General features: G+C 35.0%; 1 long non-coding RNA gene across 1 annotated transcript; it reads right to left on the bottom strand.

Moving 5' to 3' along the window:
* Positions 1-621: 621 nt before the first annotated feature.
* Positions 622-24,102, bottom strand: LINC02125 (long intergenic non-protein coding RNA 2125). Its single transcript, NR_110934.1, has 4 exons — positions 23,951-24,102; positions 23,477-23,603; positions 3,436-3,543; positions 622-2,432 (listed from the first exon to the last, which is right to left on the bottom strand). It is a non-coding gene; the product is annotated as a long intergenic non-protein coding RNA 2125 (long non-coding RNA).
* Between the last annotated feature and the right edge of the window lie 593 nt (positions 24,103-24,695).

Below are 24,695 nucleotides of genomic sequence, written 5' to 3'. Positions count from 1 at the left end.
TCCTCAAAATTATGTCCTTTTATTTTTTATTAGCCCCGAGGTAAGTTTACATATATCCTGAACACATTTTGAATTGTTTTGGTAACTTCCACCAGAATATGGGAAGCAGTAAAAAGCAGAGAGAAAATCAGTTTTCCTGCTAACTAGATCGCCTTCAAAAAATTCCACAAAAGTATATAGTTAATTAAAGAAAATCATTCAAACTAAAACATAATTTCATATTTTAATATCTTTAAAATGTAAAAGCTCAGTGAACTTCAAAGTTTAAATATAAAAATAATCTAATGTTAGAAGGTGAATTTAGTGATCTGAATGTCTTGCTATCTCTATACTTTGCAATGAGAATAGTAATTTAAACAGCATTCTTTTGCTTCCGAGGGATTTGTTTTTCAAGAGATTGCTATTGCATGATTCCTTATAAAACTGATAAAAGCTAAAATATAGAAACATCCAGTATGCTAAAATATAGTTATATTTTTCCCACTTATCTTTGTCTCTTGGATGTATGTGCATGTGTGTGCGTATATACGTATGATACGTGTATATGTATGTATATATGTATATACATATATATGTACATATATGCACACATACATATATACACACACACACATTTTTTTTAATTTCAACTTTTATTTTAGATACAGGGCATATATAGGCAGTTTTTTTACACAGGCATATTGCACCCAGGTAGCGAGCACAGCACCCAATAAGTAGTTTGTCAACCCATGCTCCCTCCCTCCCTCCCTCCCCACTCTAGAATTCCATAGTATCTGTAATTCTCATGTTTATGTCCATGTGTGCTCAGTGTTAAGCTCCCACTTATAAATGAGAGCATGCAGTATTTGGTTTTCTCTTCTTGCATTAACTCACTTAGGATAATGGCCTCCAGCTCCAATTCATTTTAGGAATGTTTCTTTGCTCCCTCCCTGAATTTCTTTTCTTTTTGGGGGGTAGAGGTGCTGAACTGATATCCTCCTGCTCACAATGCAACATCTGGTATTTTTAAATTGCCAAGTCTATGGAATCTCTGCTTTTAATTATAAACCTCAAATCTTTCAAAGGAACGTTAGGTTTCCTCCAGGATTCAGCCTAAATTGCACTTATACCCAAAGCCACTCCTTCCCCTCAACCTCCTGGTGTCAAGCAATCCTTCTGCCTTGGCCTCCCAAAGTTCTAGGATTACAGGTGTTAACCACTGCATCCGGCCAATGAGACAGTTTCTATGAGTGTTACCTGGGCTCTCTCCTTTAGAATTTCTCATAGGCTGTAATCAAGTTGTCAGCCAGGGTTGTGTTCTTGTCTGAAGTTTTGACTGGGAAAGGATCAACTGCCAAGCCCACTTATATGATCATTGGCAGGATCCAGTTCCCATGAGCTGTTGGGTTGAGGGTTCGTTTTCTAGCTGGCTGTTGGTCAGAGGTTGCCCTCAGTTTCTTGCCATGTGGACCTTCCTGATAAAACAACTTGCCTCATCAAAGCCAGCAAAGGAATACATTCTACTCGACTATATCATGTAACCTAATCATGGGAGTGACAACTTTTGCCATATTCTGCTGGTTTGAAACAAACTACTCAGCCAGCACCCATTCACAGGGAAGGGACAAAGGCCTGGATGTGGAGGCAGGATTGCTAGGGGCCATCTCAGAAGCTGTTCACTGCAGTATCATTACAGTGAAAAAAAAAATTGAAGACATCTGTGTCCACGACCAGCTTATAAAAAGCTTTGTCCATAGGCAAGTGGCTGTTTTCACACAGGAAAACATCTGTTTCCACAGAGGCAGCAAGCGCGGTCTGGGCCTTATTCAAATCTACAAGCTTTTATCTGCTTGGGCAGCATTACAGAGCTGGCTGCTGCCAGTGCAGTTTTCCTAAATTGACCTGGCTGAGGCAAGAATTAGATTTCAGAGACAATCTTTTCACATAATGGCCTTTTAGATATTATATGAAAGAGTAACCATGGGCCTGTAATTTATTCCTCCCTCCTTAGGGATCTCTGAAGAAGTTTTGACTCTGAACAGAATTCTTTGCAAATATCGACTGATGGAATACACTAACATAGAAGACAAATGAGGGTCCTGAAAGGGTTGGCTACGCGCTGACTACTGATCTAGAAATCATTTCAGCATTACGTCCTGGTCTATTTAGACTGCTCATATTAAATTATCCTGAAAATCATGGGAAGCTGAGCTGAAGCATGCAAGTTATACATATAACCACAGCAAGACCATGTGTCTAGTGGAACTCCAGAACTCAGCAGCCTCCATGGCTAATGTGTCCCGTGTGCTTGTCATACTCCATCACCAAAATATGTCTAGCATAGGAAAGGAAGCTTAGGAAGCCTTATCTGTGGATTAGGAGCCTCCCAGATGCTGTGTATATTGCTTCTTCTGTCTCTTATCCATTGATAATTATGCACAAGCTTGGAGGTTCTGAAACAGTAGAAATGATAAAGGTGGAGGCAACTTTAGATTGGTTAAATGGCAATTGGGGTCATACAGCTACAGTTTTTGACAGCTTTAATTGAGATATAATTGACATATAACAAATTGCATATACTTTAAGTTTTGGCATATGTATACATCCCTGAAATCATAAATACAATCAAGACAATGGATACCTATTTGATACCACTGACCCAAACCATGATAGATGCTGTGATTTATGGGGATCCCTAAATTTGTGCTTGTCATGTTTCATAGTTTTAGTTAGTGGTCAAGAAGTACTCAAGAGACAGTAACCTCAGTTATTATGTATGGGATTAATTGGTAGCAGAAATGTTCATGCTTCCCGAAAGAAAGGTGAGACTAAAGAGGGAAATTATAAAGAAGAAGGAAAGCAGTGATGCTTGACCTACTCTGCTGGAATTGTTCCACTGCTGCTGAAAAACAGGATGAAAAAGGGGGAATTGAGAGGATTATTGGTAGGGTTTTGGCGGTATAATCTTGAAGCATGAGAGGTAAAAATCCAACTTCATTGTTGGCTATGACATGCATACCTTAAGAAGCCCCCTCGAAGTTTCCACATATAACTTAGCATGGATAAGTACAAATCCAATCATAAGGATTATGATTTGGAATGGAAATACTTAAACAGGCTGAATGTAATCCCTCAGTTAAAGCCATATTTCCTTTTTATGTAAATTAAGTAAGGATTTGGGATCTGCCCACCCACCCCTCAGTGAGGGAATCCAAAGAACTAGAAAGTGATGTGGATGGAATGGCCTGAGGGCAATAACTAAAATATGTGGAATTATTAACTCTTCGCAATCAGTCTATGGAAATCCACATAGGGGCTAGGAGGACAGTCTAAGAGGTCTAAAGGTGAAACTTGGAGAACGCGGAAATGCTGTGGTAGACAATAACAACGTACCAGTTAAACTCTAATTTGGAAAATACGACTGGAGAAAGTATTCTCTCATTTCATCTCCCTTACCTAAGTGTATAATGGGAATGGGTGTCACAGGAGAATGGAGGACTCTGCTCCTACATTATTACACTGCGTGTGTTCCATGTTCCATAGTCACCCTCCACCTGGTGTCACCTGAAATGATAAATTACAATCTTTGCAATTGCCTAAGACCTCCTCTGTAGAAAATACTAAATAATACAGAGTTCCAGAAGTAAAAGAGAACATTAATGCTTTAATTAGCATTAATGATTGAAATAGTGATATTGATCTCCATTAATTATTTTCCTTAATTGATAAATGAAAATTATTTATATTTATGGTATACAATGTGGAATTTTAATGTATGTTTGAATGTAAGTTAGTATAGCCACCATAGAAAACAATGTAGAGGTTCCTCAAAAAACTCTAATTAGAAGTAGCATATGGTAGTTTCAGCAATCCAACTTTTTGGTATATATCCAAAGGAAGTAAAGTCAATACGGCAAAGAGATAGCTGCACTCCCATGTTAATTACAGTATAATTCACCATAGCCAAGACACGGAATCAACCCAAGTATCCATCAACAGATGAATAAAGAATATGTAGTATGTATACACAATGGAATACTACTCAATCTTTAAAAAATCAGTAAACCCAATAATTCTCTTTTAATAGCCCTTACACACCAAAAACGCAAAGCAGGTTATCTACACATACTGATAGTGGACCACTGGGAGTTCATCTAGGTAGATCCACCATAGCGTTGGATGTGCTATAGATATAATTCAGAAAAACAAAAAGCAAAACCAATACAATTGCACCAACAGGCAATGGATCAAAGGAGAGCATTCAGTATAGATCTTAGCTCATGCTTTCTTTTGTACACCTATTTCAGAAGTCAATCAAGAACACTGCCTCCACATATTAACAAAAAGACATTTAAGCTAACCAGTATACTATCACAATCCAGCGTAGCTGCACTTGATCTTGATAACCAGGAGTAAGTTGATAACATCAATGATATCTTAATTGCCTCCTCAGAGGAAAAAGCAAAGTATACTTTAGAGACTGTGTCACCCAGCTGTCAATAAAGCACGGCAGATAAACCCCAGTACAATTCAAGACCTGCCCCAGTCCCTGAAAATTTAGAAAAGAACATGAGCCAGATCACAAGAGGCTTTCCTCCTATCATAAGAAATAATTTAGAATCTGATCTTGACCTTGTTACTAAACAGCCCAGAGACTGGAGAATCTGTTTGAGTTATGGCATAATCACATCTTCCACTCTGGGATATTGTTAGTCCTTTCCACAAAGTCACTAGAAAGAAATCTGAGATTGAATTGTGGCCTGACAGAAACAAGCAAATAAAAGATTTATAAAGGGCTGTCAATCAGGCAGTGTCTCTTGAGCCTTATGACCCGAATGCACAAATGATTGTAGAAGTGTCAACAACTGGAACACACACAGACTAGAGCTTTTGGCAGAAATCAATATTGCTGCTCAGTGGAGACGGCAGAGATTTTGGACTTGAAAGTGGTCTGATGCAGCTGCTCAATTCAGCCCTTTAGAAACATAATTGTGAGCTTGTTGTTGGGCATTGGCAGGAATTGCTCCTACATCAAGAGACCTGGCAATCCTGAAACCAGAAACACCCATCATGACTTAGGTGATGTCTGTGAAACATTCAAATTGAGGAAACACCCCAATGGAGCACACTGTTAAATGGAAATGGTGCTCAAGTGTACACTTTAGCTGGGGGTTCCAAAGTTCACAGCATTTATGAATAGATCTATCCCTTGCATTTGCACCCAATAGTAACCCTCCCTATCTTTTCCAGCCCATCCTGATCCACAGCCCAAAGATCTCCCTGCTGTAGCTGCTGAATTGTCTAAGCCTTTAAATTCTCCCCTGGCCATACAAAATAGCTGCTAAATGTACTGACTGGATTTCATGAGGCTGTTTCAGAAATTCAGTGGTTACCTGTCCTACATATGGTAAATCCTTAGTGGGAGAAGATAAAAGGCTGAAAGGGCATTTACATCATCCTGAAATCGACTCACTAACTCAAGTAGAGACACTAGAGGGAGCCATCTTTCAGGAGACGGGCTATGGCTGATGAAGCAACCTGAGAACAGATCCTATGCATTACTAGACTCATCAAACATCAAGCTTGCCAGCAACTCTGGGAAACAGCATCTGCCTTTACTCAGGGGACGTTTTAATAATAATGAAATCAGATATATTTAACATACACTGGTGCTAATGACAAGATGTCACTAGAAGTGTGCAGCCCAATAAGGTAGCTGCAAGCTACATATGACTATTGAGCATTTGAAGTGTGGCAAGTCCAAATGAGAACTGTCATATGCACAAAATGCATATGGGATTTCAAAGACAGTACCAAAAAAGTGTAAAATGCCTTGTTAATAATATTCTATTGATGACATGCTAAATTAATACTATTTGGATATGTTTAATACTATTTCGATATGTTTAAATTGTACTATTAAAATTGATTAATTAAATTGTATCTACTTTTTCCTTTTTTAGTATCCTTCTAGAAAATTTAAAATTAATATATGTGGTACACATTATATTTCTCCTGAACAGTATGCTTCTAGATTGCTTATTACAAGTTACCCTATAATTTATGGGCTTTGGCTGGCCTGAATTGTAGAAGGTGAATGTGCAGCCAGAACAGATTTATCACACACGCGCACACACACACACACACACACACACACACACACACACACACACACACGAGACAGACAGAGAGACAGAGACAGAGAGATTTATAATTAGGAAACTTTACAAAACTAGTTTAAAAAATAAGGAGATGAAACAAGATTTCAAAAGCACAAGTGGAAAAAGAGAAATTTGACAAATATCCTATCATGAAAACCAGGTTAATGTTAATTGAATGCAAACCAGAACAGCTGTATTTTCTTCACAAAGGAAAACACTGTGGAATAATATTGACAGAATCATCAAAAGGGAAGACAAAGGAAAGTAATAATATATTTTCAATGTTAAACCATAATAGAAAATTAAATAATAATAGAAAATTAAAACAAATTATTGACATATCACTCTGATTTTAACTCACATATTGGTAACAAATCTCCTCTCTATATACATTCATTTATTCTTTTGAATGTATTTCTGTATTCAATGTATTTATTTATTTAATATATTTATGTATTTATTAAATATATTTACAAAATGCCTACTAGTCCAGGCACTGTTCTTGTCACTTAAGATACATAGTGAACAATCGGACAAAACTTCTGTTTTTAAGTGTTTATTATAGTTACAAAAATGAACAAAAATAAAATTTTGTATATGATGAACATATTTAAAAAACTAAATATAATGGGTAATTTTCTTCCCTAATAAAAAAAATCTAAATTGACAGTTGTACTAGTTCCCAAGGAGTGGTGTTACAGGGTATCACAAAGTGGGTGACTTTCTACAATATAATTATATAATTATATATAATATGTATTATATAATATATAATATTAATATATTGTAATATCTAACATATTATATTATATATAATTATACATTATATAATATATAATAAAATATAATTATCTTATATATTATGTTATATAACATTATAATATATAATTATATTATATATTATATATAATTATATAATTATATTATATATTATATATAATTATATAATTATATTATATAACATAATTATATAATTATATAACTATATATAATTGTTATATGATTATGTTATATATTATATATTAAGTAATGCAATATATTATATTAATATATATTATATAACACATATTATATATTATATATAAGGGATTACATTCAGCCTGTTTCATATATATAACATATAATTATATATAATTATCTAACATATAATTATAATTATCTAACATATAATGATATATAAATACATAACATATAATTATATATATTAAAAAGCCACCTAGATTATTTATATTATATAATGATACATATAATTATATATTATATATATTAAACAGGCTGAATGTAATCCCTTATCATATAATTATATTGTAGAACATATATATATGTAATTATTATATAATTATATAAAACATACAGAATATAATTACATAAAATATACAGAATATAATTTATTCTGTCACTATTCTGGAGACTAGAAGTCCCAAATCAAGGTTTTCAAAGGGTCACGCTCCCTCTACAGCCTCTAGGGCTCAGGGGATTCTTTCTTTCCTCTTCCAGCTTCTACCTGCCCCAGGTGCTTCTTGATTTATGGCAGTATATCTCCAACTTTTGCTTCCATCTTCATGTGGACTTCTTCCCTCTGTGTCTGTCTCTCTCTCTGTTCTCATAAGGATTCCAGTCACATTAGATTAAGAATCACTTTAATTCAGTATGACCCTATCTTAACTTGATCACATCTGGAAAGACCCAATTTCCAAATAAGGTCACAGTCACAGTTACTGGGGGCTAGGACTTAAACACATCTTCTTGGGGAAACACAGTTCAACTCATATCGATACTCTAGTAGGAATCCCAAATAGACTAACTGTGTCAAGGGTCTTCAAGACCAGCGCCCAGTTTAATGATTATTAGAAGAACTCGCAAGACTCATGGCCAAGGTTTATTACATGGAAAGGATACAAGGAAAAAAAAGATTATGGGGAGAAGTCGGTAAGAATCAGGTGCAAGATTCCTAGAGTCCTTTTCCAATAGAGTCATGCAAGGCGTGCATAATTCCTCCAGCAGTAAGTTGTGAGAACACGTGTGAAATATTGCCTACTGGGAGTCTTTTTAGAGACTCAGTGCCCAGGGTTTTTATTTGAGGCTGGTCTTGCAGGCACCCACTGTTTAGCATACACCAAAATTCCAGACTCCCAGAAGGAAAGGAGATGTTTAACACACATCCCATTATTTGCATAGTCTAGTCACAATGAGTCATCCTTATTATTTAAACAAAGTTTATGTCAGTGGAGAGAACTCTTGATCACCTACATTCCCAGATGACAGCCAACCTTGTATGCAGGCTTTTCTAAGGATAGTAGTATCAGGTTGGTTCTTTTAGTGTCACACTTTTCTGCACGCTGACAAAAGAGAAAAGTCAAAAGTTATTTTTAAAAAAGTGTTCTCCCTCTCAAAAGCCACCTGGATTATTTAGTTAAATCATACAAGGATCTTATAATGTTCACATCATAACTATTCTATGAAATAGAATATGTTAGGTAAGAACTGGCTAATTTAAGCAAATAGCCATGATATCAAAATTAATCAACATCAAAGGTGGTCGTTTTTATTATTTGATATTATAGCTATTAAAAACTTCTATTTGGGATTCCTTTTCATAAATCTCTTTCATATTAAGTCGTATTCAGAATTGTGAAACACTTACATGTCTTATTGTATAAATTAGAGCTTTAATAACACAATAATCTAAATCGCAGGTTCTCTGTAGGGGCAATATCTCACCCAAGGAAGAAAAAATGGTTCTTGGAGAAAAAGAACCTTATTATTTTTATGTATAAAACAATAGATATGCATCAATACACACACAGATAAATAGATATATGTGGTATTAAAATTCCATGGTGGGAGACAGTTAGGAATAAAACAAGTTAATAAATTATCTCATATGACTTTTCATTTATTCTATTTATCTATCTTCTAGCACTATATATCTGGAAGGACTCAAATCAAGTTGTTACTATTACATCTGACTAGTGGGGTCAGGGTAAATATAAGAAAAGACTAAATTTTTATACTTTGTGCTTCCTTTTACAATGATCATTTGTATATAATAATGTAATAAACATAAAGTCATTTAATCAACTGAAAGAATCAGCAAAATACACATCCATTTGTCTTGAAGAGACATCCATTTCAGTTATATACATGGTGAAATTTAGAACTTCTTAATGAAACCAATGAATCCATTTGAGGTGAAAAAAAATCAATATGGAGTTTCCTAGTTGAAGGAAGAGACTGACTAAAGAAAAGCTAAAACCCAAGATAGAGTGCAATCAAGTGAGGTTGTATTTTGAAGAAAAGATCTGTCAAATATTATCTATTTCAAAAGTGTCATTGGGTCAAGCTTTACAGATGAGACCAGATTTTCTGTTTAATGTACATACACACACACACACACACACACACACACACACACACACGGACTCAAGAAATTGGCTGGTGGAAATACGAAGTAAAGTTTTAAGATAATTGGCATAAAAGTAAAACATTCTCGGATCATTTTTGAATTAACTTAGTGATACAGGAGTGCCGGGAAGGAAAGAGCATGGTCCCTTTAAATGATATGGAAGGTGGGGAAGGGAAGTGCTGGGTAGAGAAGGGTGGGTCCTTAACTAGGGCTCCACCCCCAGGGACCTAGGTGAGGACAGGCATTTCCTGCCCAAATGTTGCATTTCCCAAGACCAACCTGGCCTGCCACACCCCCATCCTGGGCCTATAAAAACCTGAGATCCTCATGAGGAGAAGCCACTGGACATTGTGAGGAACACATGGGAGAAAGAAGACACAACTGGCTGGCTGGGGCAGTCGGAGATGCTCAGCAGCCCGACTCCAGGGGAAAACCATCTCCTTTCTGGCTGCCCCATCTGCTCAAAGCTACTTCTACTCAGTAAAACCTTGCACTCACACTCCAAGCCCATGGATCTGATTCTTCCGATACATCAAAGCAAGAAACCCCGGGATACAGAAATCCCTTTGTCCTTGTGATAAGAAATGGGGTCTAATTGCTGGTTAACACAAGCTGCCTATAGACGCAAATTAAGAGAGCACCCTGTAACATGCGCTTACTGAGGCTTCAGGAGCTGTAAACATCCTCCCCTATACACTGCCACGGGTCTGGAGCCCCACAGCCTACCCATCTGTATGCTACCCTAGAGGTTTGAGTAGCAGGGCACTGAAGAAGCGAGCCACACCCTCATCGCATGCCCTGCCAGGGGGACAAGGGAACCTTTCCCTTATCAATAGTAATATCTATAATTGTACATCATTTGACCGTGAGATAATATATAAAATCTTCTGGAGTATCCCTACACACTTTTCAAGATAACAACAAAACTCAAGGAATTATTGAAAAGAGGAGGAACTGGAGTTTTGGGGATTGACTATTTTCAAGGGATTTAAAATTTGTAATAAGGTTCTCAAAGCAAAGAGGTTTTGGGTCTCATCATGAGAAAGTAAGACAGATAATAGAATATGAAACTGCCCACATAGTAAATTACCGACTGAAAACAAACCTGAGTACAAGTAAGTAATTTTCTTCTTTCAAATTCAGGGAAGGGTGTTGGAAACATGACAATTAGGAGAATTATTACAAAGTTTATGTATTCCAAAGCTCATCCAGAGAATTCTGTTTAGAAAGATCTTTCAGATTAATTCACGCTATAATAATTGCATTGGTGCTTTCAGCATTATTTACAATTCCTGGTTTAATTAAATGTGTATATTTAATTAAATATATTTATATGTATTTATATATGTCTGTATTGAATCTTTAGTTTCTTTATGTGTACTATTAAAATAAACTTTGTGTTTTTTCTTCCCCCATCCAGAAACTTTCCATATTCAATTTTTTGTACACACTAAACACTAATTGTTCTACTTAACAATCATTTTTGTTGTGTATTTTTCTCTTCCACTTATCAACACATTTTATAATACCAGCATTACACCAAAACAAGCCAAAAATACAATATTAATAGAGTACAGGCCAATCCCTCATATACATAGAAATGAAGAAGCTTTTCAGAATTTTAAAGGGCAACTGTGAAGAATTTACAGATAACAGCATTCCCAGCAATGAAAGACTCTGGATTTTCCTTAAGATCAGTAACAAGGCAAGAATTTCTCTTTTACAACCTGTATTCAAACATTGCACTGGAAGCGTAACCAGTACAATAAGGCAAAAAGAAGAAAAAGAACACAGAGAATGGAAAGAAAGAAATAACTATCTATAGATGGTTGCCTGTCTTCAAATGGCCTTTTCTGAAAGAACTTTTAAGTTCCAATAAAAATTTCATGGCAAAATAGGTTATGGGCTTTATCATTAGAAAGTAAGACAGAAATGAAGACAGAAGACATGATTGTGTATAGAGAAAATGCTAAGGAAGCTATTTTAAAAGCTGCTGCTAGAACTAATACGGGAAGCTAATAATGTAACACAATGAAATACATATATATTCTTATAAGAATTGTAAATTCAAATTTAAAAAGAATGGTTTATTGTTAGCATCCAAAAACTTAAAATCATAGGAACAGATTTAAAATTGATATAAGAACTGCATTTTGAAAAATGGAAAAAGCATAGTGCACAGAGAAATGAAAAAAGATGAAAGTAAATGGAGAGATACAATGTTCTTGAGAATCAGAAGGCTAAGTATTATTAAGACCTCAGTACTCTTTAAACCAGTCTTTACATTCAAGGCAATTCCATGCAAAGATCCTACAGACTTTTTAATAGAAATGGATGAGCGAATTCTAAAATTTATATGGCCTTTCAAAAGACCCAGAAGAGGCAAAAAACACCGTGTACAGTAAGAACAAAGCAGACGGACTTACACTATCTCATTTCAAACGTAACTTTATAGCTACATTAATCAAAATGGTGCAGCATTGGTGTGAACAAAAAAGTGTAAAATTAGATCGGTGAAAGAAAATAGGGTGTCTAGGCCGGGCATGGTGGCTCACACCTGTAATTCCAGCACTATGGGAGGCTGAAGAGGGTGGATAACCAGAGGTCAGGAGTTCGAGAACAGCCAGATCAACACAGCGAAACCCCGTCGCTACAAAAAATACATAAATTAGCTGGGTGCGGTGACATGCACCTGTAGTCCCAGCTACTCGGAAAGCTGAGGCAGGAGAATCGTTTGAACCCATGATGGGGAGGCTGCAGTGAGCCGAGACTGCACCACTGCACTCCAGACTGGGCAACAGAGCGAGACCCCATCTTGAAAAAAAACAGAAGAAGAAAAAAGAAAAGAAAGTGTCTAGAAATACGCCCATGGGTATAATATAAAAATTTTCAACAAAGTTGCCAAGAAAATCCAATAGGGAAAAGCTTTTCTTTTCAACAAATCCAATGAAAACAATTGGATGTCCAAATGAAAAATAGAAGAACTTTGTTTCTTATCTCATATCGTACACAAAATTACATAAAAATAGATACCGTTGAAACTCTGAAAAGTAAATTATAAAAACAACTTCTAGAAAAAATTATATAATATCCTTGTAACATTCATGAATGCAATGACTTCTAAATAGAACAACACAAATCATTTTAAAAATCTGGTATTTGAAAAGCATAAATAAGTAAATGAATCACAAAATAAAAAATTAGATTTTACAAAATTTTGTAAGTCTAAACTTCAAGATAGTAAAAATTACATAATTGGCATATCAAGAATAGATTATAAATTACATTATAAGGTAGATTTATATATTATTAGATTTCATATCAAGAATAGATGATGCATTACATAATTGGGCATATCAAGAATAGATTAATAATCCTGACAACCATAACTCAATAACAAAGCAAACTACCCAACTTTAAAATGTGCAACTTGTTTGATCAAATAATTTACAAAAGAAGATTTATAAATGACCAATATACGTGAATATGATCAATATCTGTAATCATCAAGAAAATGCATATTAGCATAATGAGATTTCTCTAAGATACCTGAAACTTAGAAGTCTGGCAATATCGAGTGTTCAGAAGCATGCAGACCAACTGGAAATCTTGTACATGTTTTATGAGGATGCAAAATTGGAGAACTACTCTGAAAAACAGATTGGCAGTTTCCTATACATATGTTTACTATATGTATAAATACCTCATCAGTTTTACCTCTAGAAATCTACCCAGGAAAAAATGAAAACTTACGTCCACACAAGTATTTCTACATAATTGTCTACAGCACTTTTGTGCATAATAGACCAAAATCAGAAATACTCCAAAAGTTGACCAAATGGCAAATAAATAAATACTAGTATATCAGAACAATAGAACACTTTTTTACTTAGCAATGAAGAATGGACTATGGATACAAGAGAACATGAACCAATCTCAAAAACATTCTGCTGGAAAAAAGAAAGCCTACACTAAAAGACGTTATCTTATAGCTCTATTTATATAAAAGTCTAGAATAAGATAAACTAACCTATAGTGACAGCAAGATCAGTGCTTGCCTGGAGTCAAGGGGGGTGACTTTTAAAAGGCATAATGGAACATTTGGGGATGACAGAGATGTTCTACATTTTGATCATGATAACGGCTTCGTGGGTGTATGTATTTGTCGAAATTCATCTAACAGTATATTTAAAATTGGTGAATTTCATTTTATGTAAATCAACTGATTTGGTTTAAAAACTGCAATAGAAAGGGTAGTGAAACTGTATCTGAGGCACTGAATGGAGTAAACCATTCTTTCTTCCATCCTAGAAACTCCAGGAGTAAAAGAGACCCTGCCTTTAGTGCATGAACTTGTCCACACTTATCAGTTACTGGAAATATTTCAGAAACAGAATCTGAGGAAAACTTTGACTCTCTGATAGTGAAACAAATGTTTTTGCACTTGGAGATTTGGAAACTTGTTGCAAATCTAATATTAGGTAGGGCAGCTTGACGAAACATAAAGAATGTGTTGCCTGGGCAAAGTGGCTCACGCCTGTAATCCAAACATTTTGGGAGGCTGAGACAGGAGGATTGCTTGAGCCCAGGAGTTTAAAACCAGCCTAGGCAACAGAGTGAGACCCTATCGCTGAAAACAAACAAACAAACAAAAAAGGTTGACATCAGTTATTTTCTTTACTCTCACTGATTAGTAGTAAGTTCATGTGCAGAAAAAAATTAATTTGTAAACCGGGAAAAAATAATGTTTATTATTGCATCTCAAGTTGTACCTGGCAGTTCCCAGGTCAAGTTAAGGAACATTCTCAGGGGAAGCCTCCTGTCTTTGCCTAAATTACACCAAGATATTTCATGCCTCAGCTCCCTCCACATGTGTTGCTCTCAGGGCCTGAAAGGTTTTTCCCTTGTCTTTGCTTGGTTGGCTTCCACTCATTCTTCCAGACCCAATTTAAAAACTGATTTTTTCAAATCACCATTCTGTTTCAATGAGTTGTTCTTCATTAGATTTACTCATTGCACTACATTTTACTCATTCAGAACATCTACAATATTTGGATATTTGTGTATTTATAAATGAATTTTTTTTGGCTTATTGTCTGTCCTTTCTCTATTCTAAATTCTATGACCTCATTCCTTTCTAGTGCTTACAAATGCTGTTGATTATTGGAATTGTTCAGTACTTTTGAATCCCAGAGATGTGTACAGGAGGGTCAAAGTTTTCATACAATCAGAGAGAAGATCTCATTTTTTATGTGATTTTCCCTAAATAGCTTCAAAATGTGGCTTAATCTGAATATAGGTTGCAGGGGTTTCAAAGGCATGGACTCTAATTCTGTCCAATTTTATATTTCTGGTTTCTAGAGTACCAAAAATAATAACAACAACAACATAGTATCAAGCAAACAAATTTAAGAAAAAGAATATTCTTTGGAGGACAACAGGAAACTGAATCATAGCATAAAAAATGGTAAACAAAGGGAAAGTATCAAGCATTTATCCTGCCTCGTCTATAGGAAGTACCATTAGGTAATTAATCAAACAGTAGCCCATAAAAAGTGTCTTCATATAAAACATCACAGCAAATTAAAAAGAAAAAATCTGACAGAATTTAAATGCTGTAATTTTTCAAAAATAACTAATTAATGAATCTAATCATTGGGCATTCTGCCGCTAATATAACAAAGAGTGAGGCAACTAGACATCACGTACCTCCTGATTAAAGAACACAATACCACCTACCGTCTTTCCAATGCAATGGAACATGAGCCTGTTGAAGCCTGAGATCCATCACCAAGTATTTAAAGAAATAGCAAGGACAAAAAACACGTTAAACCACAGCATTAGTACATAACAAGTGAAGTCCATACCATGGAAAACCTTACAGGACAAATGTCCAGGGTTGATGAACAGATAAGTGGCAAGGTAATAAAAAGAAGTGGGGGGAAAGCCTGTCAATGAAAAGATGTATCATTTATTTTAAATGGGCAAGAAAAAACTATAAAAATCACTAGCAGAAGTTCTCTACAAGAAATTCTACAGAGATTCTTTAAGGCTGAAATAAAAGGAGGCTAGAGAATAACTTGAATTCAAAGAAAGAAATTAAAAGCACGGGAAAAGTAACTTTATAGGTAAATAGAAAAGAGAATATAAATGTATTTTGTTATTAACTAATTTTTTCCTCATAAGGGATTTAAAAGATAACTGTATAAAACAGTATTTATAAGTCTATGTTGATGGACGTACAATATATAAAGATGCAATTTGTGTGACAAAACCGTACACTGAAAGAGTAGGGAATGAGCTTTATGAGAGCAAAGTTCTTGTATACTGTTGAAATTAGGTTGATATTATCTCAACTAGATTTTTATAAGTTAAATGTTAATTGTGAACCTCAGAGCAATCACTAAAAAAACTCAAAACCATATTAAAAGAAATGACAAATGAATTAAATGGTATGCTCTAAGTACCTAACAAAAGAAGACAGTAATTTAATGGAACTAAAAAATACGTAAGGAGTACATAAAAGAAACACAAATATGGCAGATGTGAGTCCTGTCTTATCAGTAATTGCATTACATAATAATGGAGTAAGCCCTCAAATTAAAAGTAGAGACTGGAAGAATGGATAAAAAACATGAGTCAACTATAACCTGTCTACAAAAGATACACTTTGTATTCAAAGACACAAACAGGTTAAAATTAAAAGGATGGAAAAAGAAATACTATGCAAACAATAGTAAGAGAACTGGTGTGGCTATACTAACATCAGACAATATAGACTATAAGGCAAAACATTGTTATTAGATACAAAGGTGATTTTATAATAAGAGGTTAATTCATCTAGAAAATATAACTATTAAAAACATATAATAAACAATAGAGCTCAATATACATAAAGAAAAATTGCAGATTTGAAGAAGAGACATGTCAACCGTAACAGCTGCAAAAATCAACCCCCCTTTAAACAATAAATTAAAAAACTGGAAAGAAATTCAAGAAGGAAATACAACATCTGAACAACACTATAAATGAACTGGAACTAACATCTATAAAATACTCCACCCAACAGAACAGACTCCAGATTAGGCCCTATGGTAGTCCTTAAAACAAAGTCCAATAAATTTAAAAATATTCAAATCATACAAAGTATGTGTTCTGGCTATAATGCAATTAAATTAGATATCAGTAACAATGAAATATGGAAAACTCACAAAAATGTGGAAATTAACAATACACTATTCAATAGCCAACAGGTCAAGAAGAAATCCCACGTAAATTAGAAAAGACTTGGAAATAAGTGAAGGAAAACACAACATATTAAAATACATGAAATGCACCTAAAACAATACTTATAGGCAAATTTATAGCTATAAACTTCTCTTAAAAAAATAAGACATTTTCAAACTAATAACCTAACTTTGCACCTTCTTAAGTAACTAGAGTAAGAGGAAACTAAAGCCAAAGTAAACAGAAGAAAGGAAAAAATAAAGATTACAGTGGTAGTAAATGAAAAAGAGTAGGGAAAATAACCAAAACCAAAAGTAGGTTCTTTGAAAAGATCAAACCAAATTAACAACCTATAAGACCGATAAAGAAACAAAGACAGAAGATGCAAGTTACTAAAATCAGAAATAAAAGAGGAGGTATTTTTACTTATATTTTACTTATCTTAGAAATTAAAAGTATTGTAAAGGAATACTATAAACAATCATATAGCAACAAATTAGATAACCTAAATGAAATGGTCAAATCCTCAAAATGACAGAAACAATAGACTCAAAAAAAGAAACAGAAAAAAATTATAAAATTGGAACAGACCTATAACAAGAAAAAAGACTGAATTAACAGTGAAAAACTTCCTATAAGAAAAAGCACAGGACCAGATGGCTTCACTGGTGAATTCTACCAAATGTTTAAAGAAGAATCAACAACAATCTTCTACAGACTCCTCCAAAAAAATAGAAGAGGAGAGAGGGAGAGACACTTCACAACTCATTCTATGAGGCCAGTATTATCCTGAAAACAAAATCAAAGAGCCCCACCCCCCAACACACACACACACACCACACCAATTTCCCTCATGAACACTGGTGCAAAAATTCTCATCAAAATACTAGTACAGGTATAGTAACATATGAAGGATTAAACACAATGAATGAGTGGGATTTCTCTGAGGAATGCATGGTTGGTATATCACATAAAAACCAACAAATACCATAGGATGAAAACCACATGACCATCCCAGTAGACAGAAAATAAACGTATGACAAAATTCAAACCCTTTCATAATTAAAAAGAAAAACCTATTGGCAATAGGAAGGAGCCTGACAAAGGACATCTATGAAAAGCTCAATGCTAACTTCATTCTCAGTGATTAGTGACTGAAAGTTTTCCTCCTAATATCAGGAACAAGACAAGAATGTCAGCTTTCATCCATTATATTCAACATGGTACTACAGGATCCAGTTATGGCATTTAGGAAAGAAAAAGAAACAAGGTAATAATATTTGAAAGGAAGAATGAAACTACCTCTATTTGCAAATGACATGATCTTGCAGAGAGAAAATCCTAAGGAATCTATAAAAAATTAGAGGCAGTAACTGAGTTATTAGAAACTCAGTTTCTAACGTTTGAAGGATACAAAATCAATACATAAAAATCAGTTGTATTTCTACAGACTAGCAATAAACAATCTGGACATGAATTTAAGAAATCAATTCCATTTTCACTAGCACAACATGAATGGCACACCTAGGAATAAATATAACCAAAAAGTGTAAGATGAGTACACTAAAAACTGCAAAAATTTTTGAAATTAATTTACAAAAATACAAATAAATGTAAAGACATCTCACATTTATAGATTGGAAGACAATCTTTTAAAGATGGAAATATTTCCAAAAATGATCTACAGATTCAATGGAATCACTATCAAAATCTCAGTTGCCTTTTATGCAAAATAAGGTGAACTTAAAATTTAAATGGAAATGCAAGGGACCCTGAATAGTCACAATAGTACTGAAAATGAAAAACAAAGTCAGAGGACTCACACTTTCCAATTTCAAAACTTAATACACAGCTACAGTAATCAAGACTGTTTTGTACCAACATGAGGACAGACATACAGATCCATGGAATAGAATTGAGAATCCTGAAATAAAGACATACATTTATGATCAGTTAATTTTCAACAAAGATGTCAAAACTTCAAGTAGAGAAGAATAATCTGTTCTATAAATGGGCTGGGATAACTGGATATCAACATGCGAAAAAAAAAAAAAAAAGATTGCAGAACTCGACCATATACTGAGGTAAGAGACTGGCACGACTTGTTTTCTGGTCATAGCCCTGCTGATCAAAACAGGATCTGGCCCAAACAGGATAAAGTGAAGAAATTAGCAGGAACCAGCAGATGGCGATGAAAGCGATCCCTAGTTGCCCTCATTGCTCACTGGCCTGGGATACTCCCACCAACGCCATGGACAGTTTACAAGTACGATGGCAACCACCCAGAAGTTACCACCCCTTTCCTAGAAAGTTATAAACAAACTGTCCCATCAATTTGCATTGACTCACCCATCCATGTAATTGAAAGTGAATGTAAGGGAGTATAAATACAGTTGCCAAGAGCCCATAAGTTGGTGACTCTGGGTCCACTGCCTATGAGGTAGGCATGCTCTACAAAGAACAGTACCTACCGTTCTATAAGAGATTGCTAATAGCACTGACTCACCCTTGAATTCTTTCCTGTGCAAAGCCAAGAACCCTTCTGGGCTGAACCCAAAAGTCGGGGCTTGCTTGTGCTGCATCATCATCTATAAAAATTAACTCAAGTGAATCGAAAACCCAAATCCTAAATATAAGAGTAAAAACTGTAAAATTCTTAAAAACATAATTGTATATTTTGGTGACCTTAGATTAAGCAATGATTTACCTACATTTGACAGCAAAAGCACAAGCAACCAAAGAAAAACAGACAAATTAAACTTTATAAACTTCACAACTTTTGTATTTTAAAGGATATTATGAAAAAAGTAAAAAGATAACACACAAAATGAGATAACAATTAAAAATGGGCAAAGGACTTTTTCAAGGAGATTTATATCTTCAATGAATCAGGGTTTGACAAGAGAACTGTAGCAAAGACATGAGTGTCATCAGATCATAGCTCATGCAACTTACATACACATTGTTGGACAATCATGAATCATTTGCTATATATATTTGTAAAGGCCATATAGATGCTCATCCAGCATGTGCTTAATTTGTTGACTGACAACTCATTTATTCCCAATGCAACTCATTCCATTTAAGAACATTTTAAACCATTCTACAATGTAAATGTATTTCAAAACATCATATGATACACAACAAATACATGTTTTATTTGTCAATTAAAAAATAAAAAAGAACATTCAAAAATGGCACAAAAACAAGGAGAAGCAAAGGATTTCAGTGGACATTTCTTCAAAGAAGACATATATGTGACTAATGTTTAAAAATCTTCAAAATCAATAGTCGTTAGTGAAATGCAAGTTAAAACCTCAGTGACATACCACTTGACATTCTCCTAGATGGCTATAATTTTAAAAGGCAGAAAATAAAAAGTGTTGGCAAGGATGTAGAGAAATCAAATCCCTGATATGTTGCTTGTGTGAATGTAAAATATGCAATTCTCTGGAAAGCAGATATTGCCCTAGAAAGTTAAATATAGAATTGCCATATCACTCAGCAATTTTACTCCTAGGTATGCCCCCAAGAGAACTGAAAATATTTGTCCACGCAAAAGCTCATACATGAATATTCCGCACAGCACTGTTCATAATTGCCAAAAAGTGAAAAATTCCATGTCTATCAACTGATGAATAGACAAAATTTGTTATATCCATAAATTAAATATTATTCAGCCATAAAAAGGAATGCACTACTGATTCATGTAAGAACGTGCACGAACCTTGAAAACATGCTAAGTGAAAGAAACCAACCACACAAGGCTACATATTGTTTGATTCAATTTATATGAAATGCCCAGAATATACAATCCCATTGAGACACAAAGTAGATTAGTGGTTGCCAGTAGCTGGAGGAGAGGAGCAAGGAATGGCTCTTCTAACAGTAGTTGACAGCTTTATAAATATATTAAAAATAAATTGTATACTTTAAAGGGTAATTTTATAGTATGTAAATTGTATATTATATGTCATTTAAAATTTAACTAAAACCTGAACCATAATAATGATATCGACTTAATATTTTAACTTCAAACTCATAAATGTATATATTTATCCCCTAATAGTCCTTGGAAAAATATATAAGGCCTTTCTGTGACTGTGATCCAATACCGTCTCTCTAATTTTCTCAAGATCCAAATAATGCATAACGCATCTCTTTAGAGTCCCAGTTCTACATCATTTCAAACCGAGTGAAAAATCAGACATTTTTTGGGTCATTCTGAGGGCTAAATTCATCCAAATATTTTTCTGGTCTTCTACAGTTATCTCCTCGACACCTAATTTCGTGAGATTTTAAATCTACTCTTTAGAGTCTCTCTAAAGCTTCTAATTTCATTTTAAATTGAACCACAAACTTCCTCTACTTTAAACTCATTTAATCATATTTTTGGTTTTTAATTAAAACACGTAACCACTGCAAGTAGCATAAGCAGTTTTGAAGAGAACAGAACCAATTCTTGACAAACATATAATTCAGCTGGTGTAAATGGAAGGACAAAGGCAGGAAAAAGGAAGATCATCTAAGGCACAAGTCAACAGATAACAGAAAAAAACACTGAGAGACCAGTTTGTTCAGGACATTTGTATACAGAAGTTAGATTAAATAACTGCTATTATACTTAAACATGATAGTAAGGTATGGATGAGTCTGAATATGTGAAAAGGTCATTGCACGCATATATTAATATGATAGCATGGACCACAGAACAGATTTTGGAGAACATAAAAACAGAGAAATTTGACTAGTGTTTATCCACCCATGTATAAACCTGTGCCCTTAGTTGAGGATAAAATATCCTTCAGTCGAGTTTATAGTACTTTTACTGCAAAAACAAAAAATGGTGATCGCTAAACTTTGAAGAATATAAGCATCCCCACCCACATAGAGCCCCACCTCTGTGTCTCTACTCTACTCATTATGGATTCTAATTATTGCCTTGAAACAGATTATACACCCTGGGTCTAAATAATGTCCTTTTTAGCTTTGGAAATGACTTTTCTCATCTTTTAAATGGCTACAGTGATTGCTGTGTTGGTAGATAGTGGACACCAAAGATGTCCACACCCTAATTTTCTGTGAATATACTGCCTTATACCACAAAAGGAACTGTGTAGACAAGAGTAAATCTTCCTGAGATGAGATTATCTTTGAATACTAAAGTAGGTACAATCTAATCACATGGGTTTCTAAAAGCACAAGAACAAGGCAGATGAATATGTCAGATGCAAGACAAAGACTTGACCAACTATAGGTGGCTTTAAAGATGGAGAGAGAGGCCATGAATCATAGAATGTGGGTAGCTCCTAGAAGCAAGGAAATGAAGACCTCAGTCCTACAACCACATATAACTGAATTCTGCCAAAAATCTAAATGAGCAAAGAAAGACATTGTCTCCTAGGGCCTCCAGAGAGAAACACAGCCCTGGCCACACCTCAATTTTAGCCCAGTAAAACCTGTGCTAGACCTGGATCTACAAAACTGTAAAATAATAAATTTATACTGCTTTAAGTCACTAAAATTGTGTTAATTTTTAATAGTCACAATAAAAAAAACTAATAAAGTGAACTCATCCTCACAGAATTGGGACTAATTTTAAACTAGATGATTCATGTAAAAAGTATATACCGTTCCTGACACTAAGTTGTTAGTAGTTTTACCATTGCTCTTCTGTTACTGTTAGTCTCACAGCACTTTGAACACGAGGCTTTGTTTCATAGATATATTTTTCAAAATAGATTGGATGCCCCTTGATGGCAAGAGTCATGCCTAATTTATTTTGGAGCACTCATGCTAGCAATAGCATTGTAGGTTTTTTAATTCTTTCGTATATGTGTGATTAAATTAACAATTGGACAGTATTACAGAATTTTGCATTTCCGGATACTTTAGAATTCTATGCTAAATAATTACAGGAACACTTGGGAGTTGCTGCTCTACCTAAATGATGTGAAACTATGGGAAAAGGAGAAAAAATGAAAGTAAACTATCTTTTGTAACTGGTCTTAGATAGGCAAGAACACGGCCAAGAGAATTAAGGAATGAAAAGCATTACAGAAGACTAAATGGGCTGCAACATTGGTAGCTTTGGCATAGTTGCTGTTAGAGACAAATTTTATGAATGACAGTACACGTAGTCTATATGCATTGCTTATGTGATGTGTATTAGGAGTTATTTTCTTCTCATTCTGCTCAATAAGACTTAGGAGAAAAGATGAACAAGCAACAGTAAGAACAGCTCTTTCATCTCTTCTATAAGTTTCTTACCAGTCAGTATTAAAATTGTCCCAAATTTAAGCCTGTTTGTGTTACCATATACACAGAATACTCATCAGGGATTATACCAAAGAATATTAGAACAGAAAGAAGCTTTAAGAATTTGAATTGAATTACAAGACACCCTGATACTTAGGCACATTTTTTTCTAAGCTTATTTTTTTTTGCTCAAAGTAGCATCTCCAGAGCTGCAAAGCACAATTTTCACTGCTTTGGAAAATAATGTTGTATTTTCCGTGAGTCAATATATCTGGATAATTACTTATTTGAAGTTGACAAACACAACTTTTGATATACTGAAAAGCAAACATGTAAGGCTAAAACAAGAAAGGTATGTGTATAATATACTATTGTTTTGGTTTAGGTATCATTTTATCCTTAAATCTTTGAGCATATATAGAAAAAACACAATCTAGAGACTCACAGGATTTGTGTTCATCTTTCTCCGGCAGACAGACTATAAGATGGCCCCATGGTTTCCATCTCGTGCTTTTGCTCTTGCATAATCTTCTCCCTTTGAGTGTGGGTCAGACTTGTGACTTTGTTTTAACCTGTAGAATACAGCAAAAGTGACATGCTATATGTAATTATGACATGTAAGATTTTAACAGCTGTCTTCCTAGAAGACACTATTTTCCTTGCTGGCTTTTAAGAAACCAGCTGCCATTGGTGTATTTCCAATATGTTTTCTTGCTTTTTGTCAGTTTCAAATAAACAGAATGTGAAAAATAAACAAGTCTGAAACTAACTTCAAGTTTTAAGAGTGATAAAGTATTGTGTAAGTTAAAGAGGCGCACCCTGCCGCCATTTTGTCCCCTGGTCCGGGCAAGACATTCTGACGGCCTGCGCCCCAGCGTGGACAGTCCGGGTGGGCGCGACGCTCCTAGTGGACACTCACCCCTGGCCGCCCTGCGCAGGTGGGGGTGGCTCAGAGCCTCCCGCCAGGAAAGGAGCGGAGCGAGGCAGTGAGCTCTCCAAGAAGCTAGGCGGCTTCCTGGCGCACCACGTGACTCTCAGCGCGGCCGCGCAGCTCCCGGCTGCAAGCGCTTTGTGGCCCGCGCGCAGGCGCACTCCGGTTCGCGCCACTGGGGCGCACAGGCGGGAGGTCGGAGCATCTTGTGAGTTAGAATATGGAGAGGGCCACATGACAACCAACTGAGGGTGGCCTCTGTCCAGCAGCTGGTAAAAAAGTCATAACCCTCATTCCGATAACCTGCAAGAAGACTGAATTTTGCCAACAATCACATGAGCTTAAAGGAAGTTCCTTCTTCAACTGAGCCTTAGATGAGACTAGTACTCTGGCTAACATATTGATTGCAGCTTTGTTAAACCCTAAACGGGACCCAAACTAAATTATTCTTCAACTCATGACACAGAAAACATGAGATAATAAATTGTATTGTTTTAAGCAATAGCTAATACACTAGGTTTCAAAACCTTTTCTGTGCAGGTTGAAAAAAGTTTCATAATACGAGCTATTGCCTCATATTTCTTATTTAAAGTATTAAATACTAAATTAACACAACATGAGTAGACTAATTATGATACTACATATATGAACTGACAAGTGAAAACTTCCATCTTTAGGACGTTTCAAGACTGTATATAAAAAACTGGTTAAATGTTTAACTTGGGTGTCCCAT

The sequence above is a fragment of the Homo sapiens genome, chromosome 16 (assembly GCF_000001405.40).
Source record: "Homo sapiens chromosome 16, GRCh38.p14 Primary Assembly".
In the NCBI taxonomy this organism is placed as follows: Eukaryota; Metazoa; Chordata; class Mammalia; order Primates; family Hominidae; genus Homo; species Homo sapiens.
Note: the sequence above shows the minus strand (reverse complement) of the source record. Positions and strands in the feature narration are given on the sequence as shown.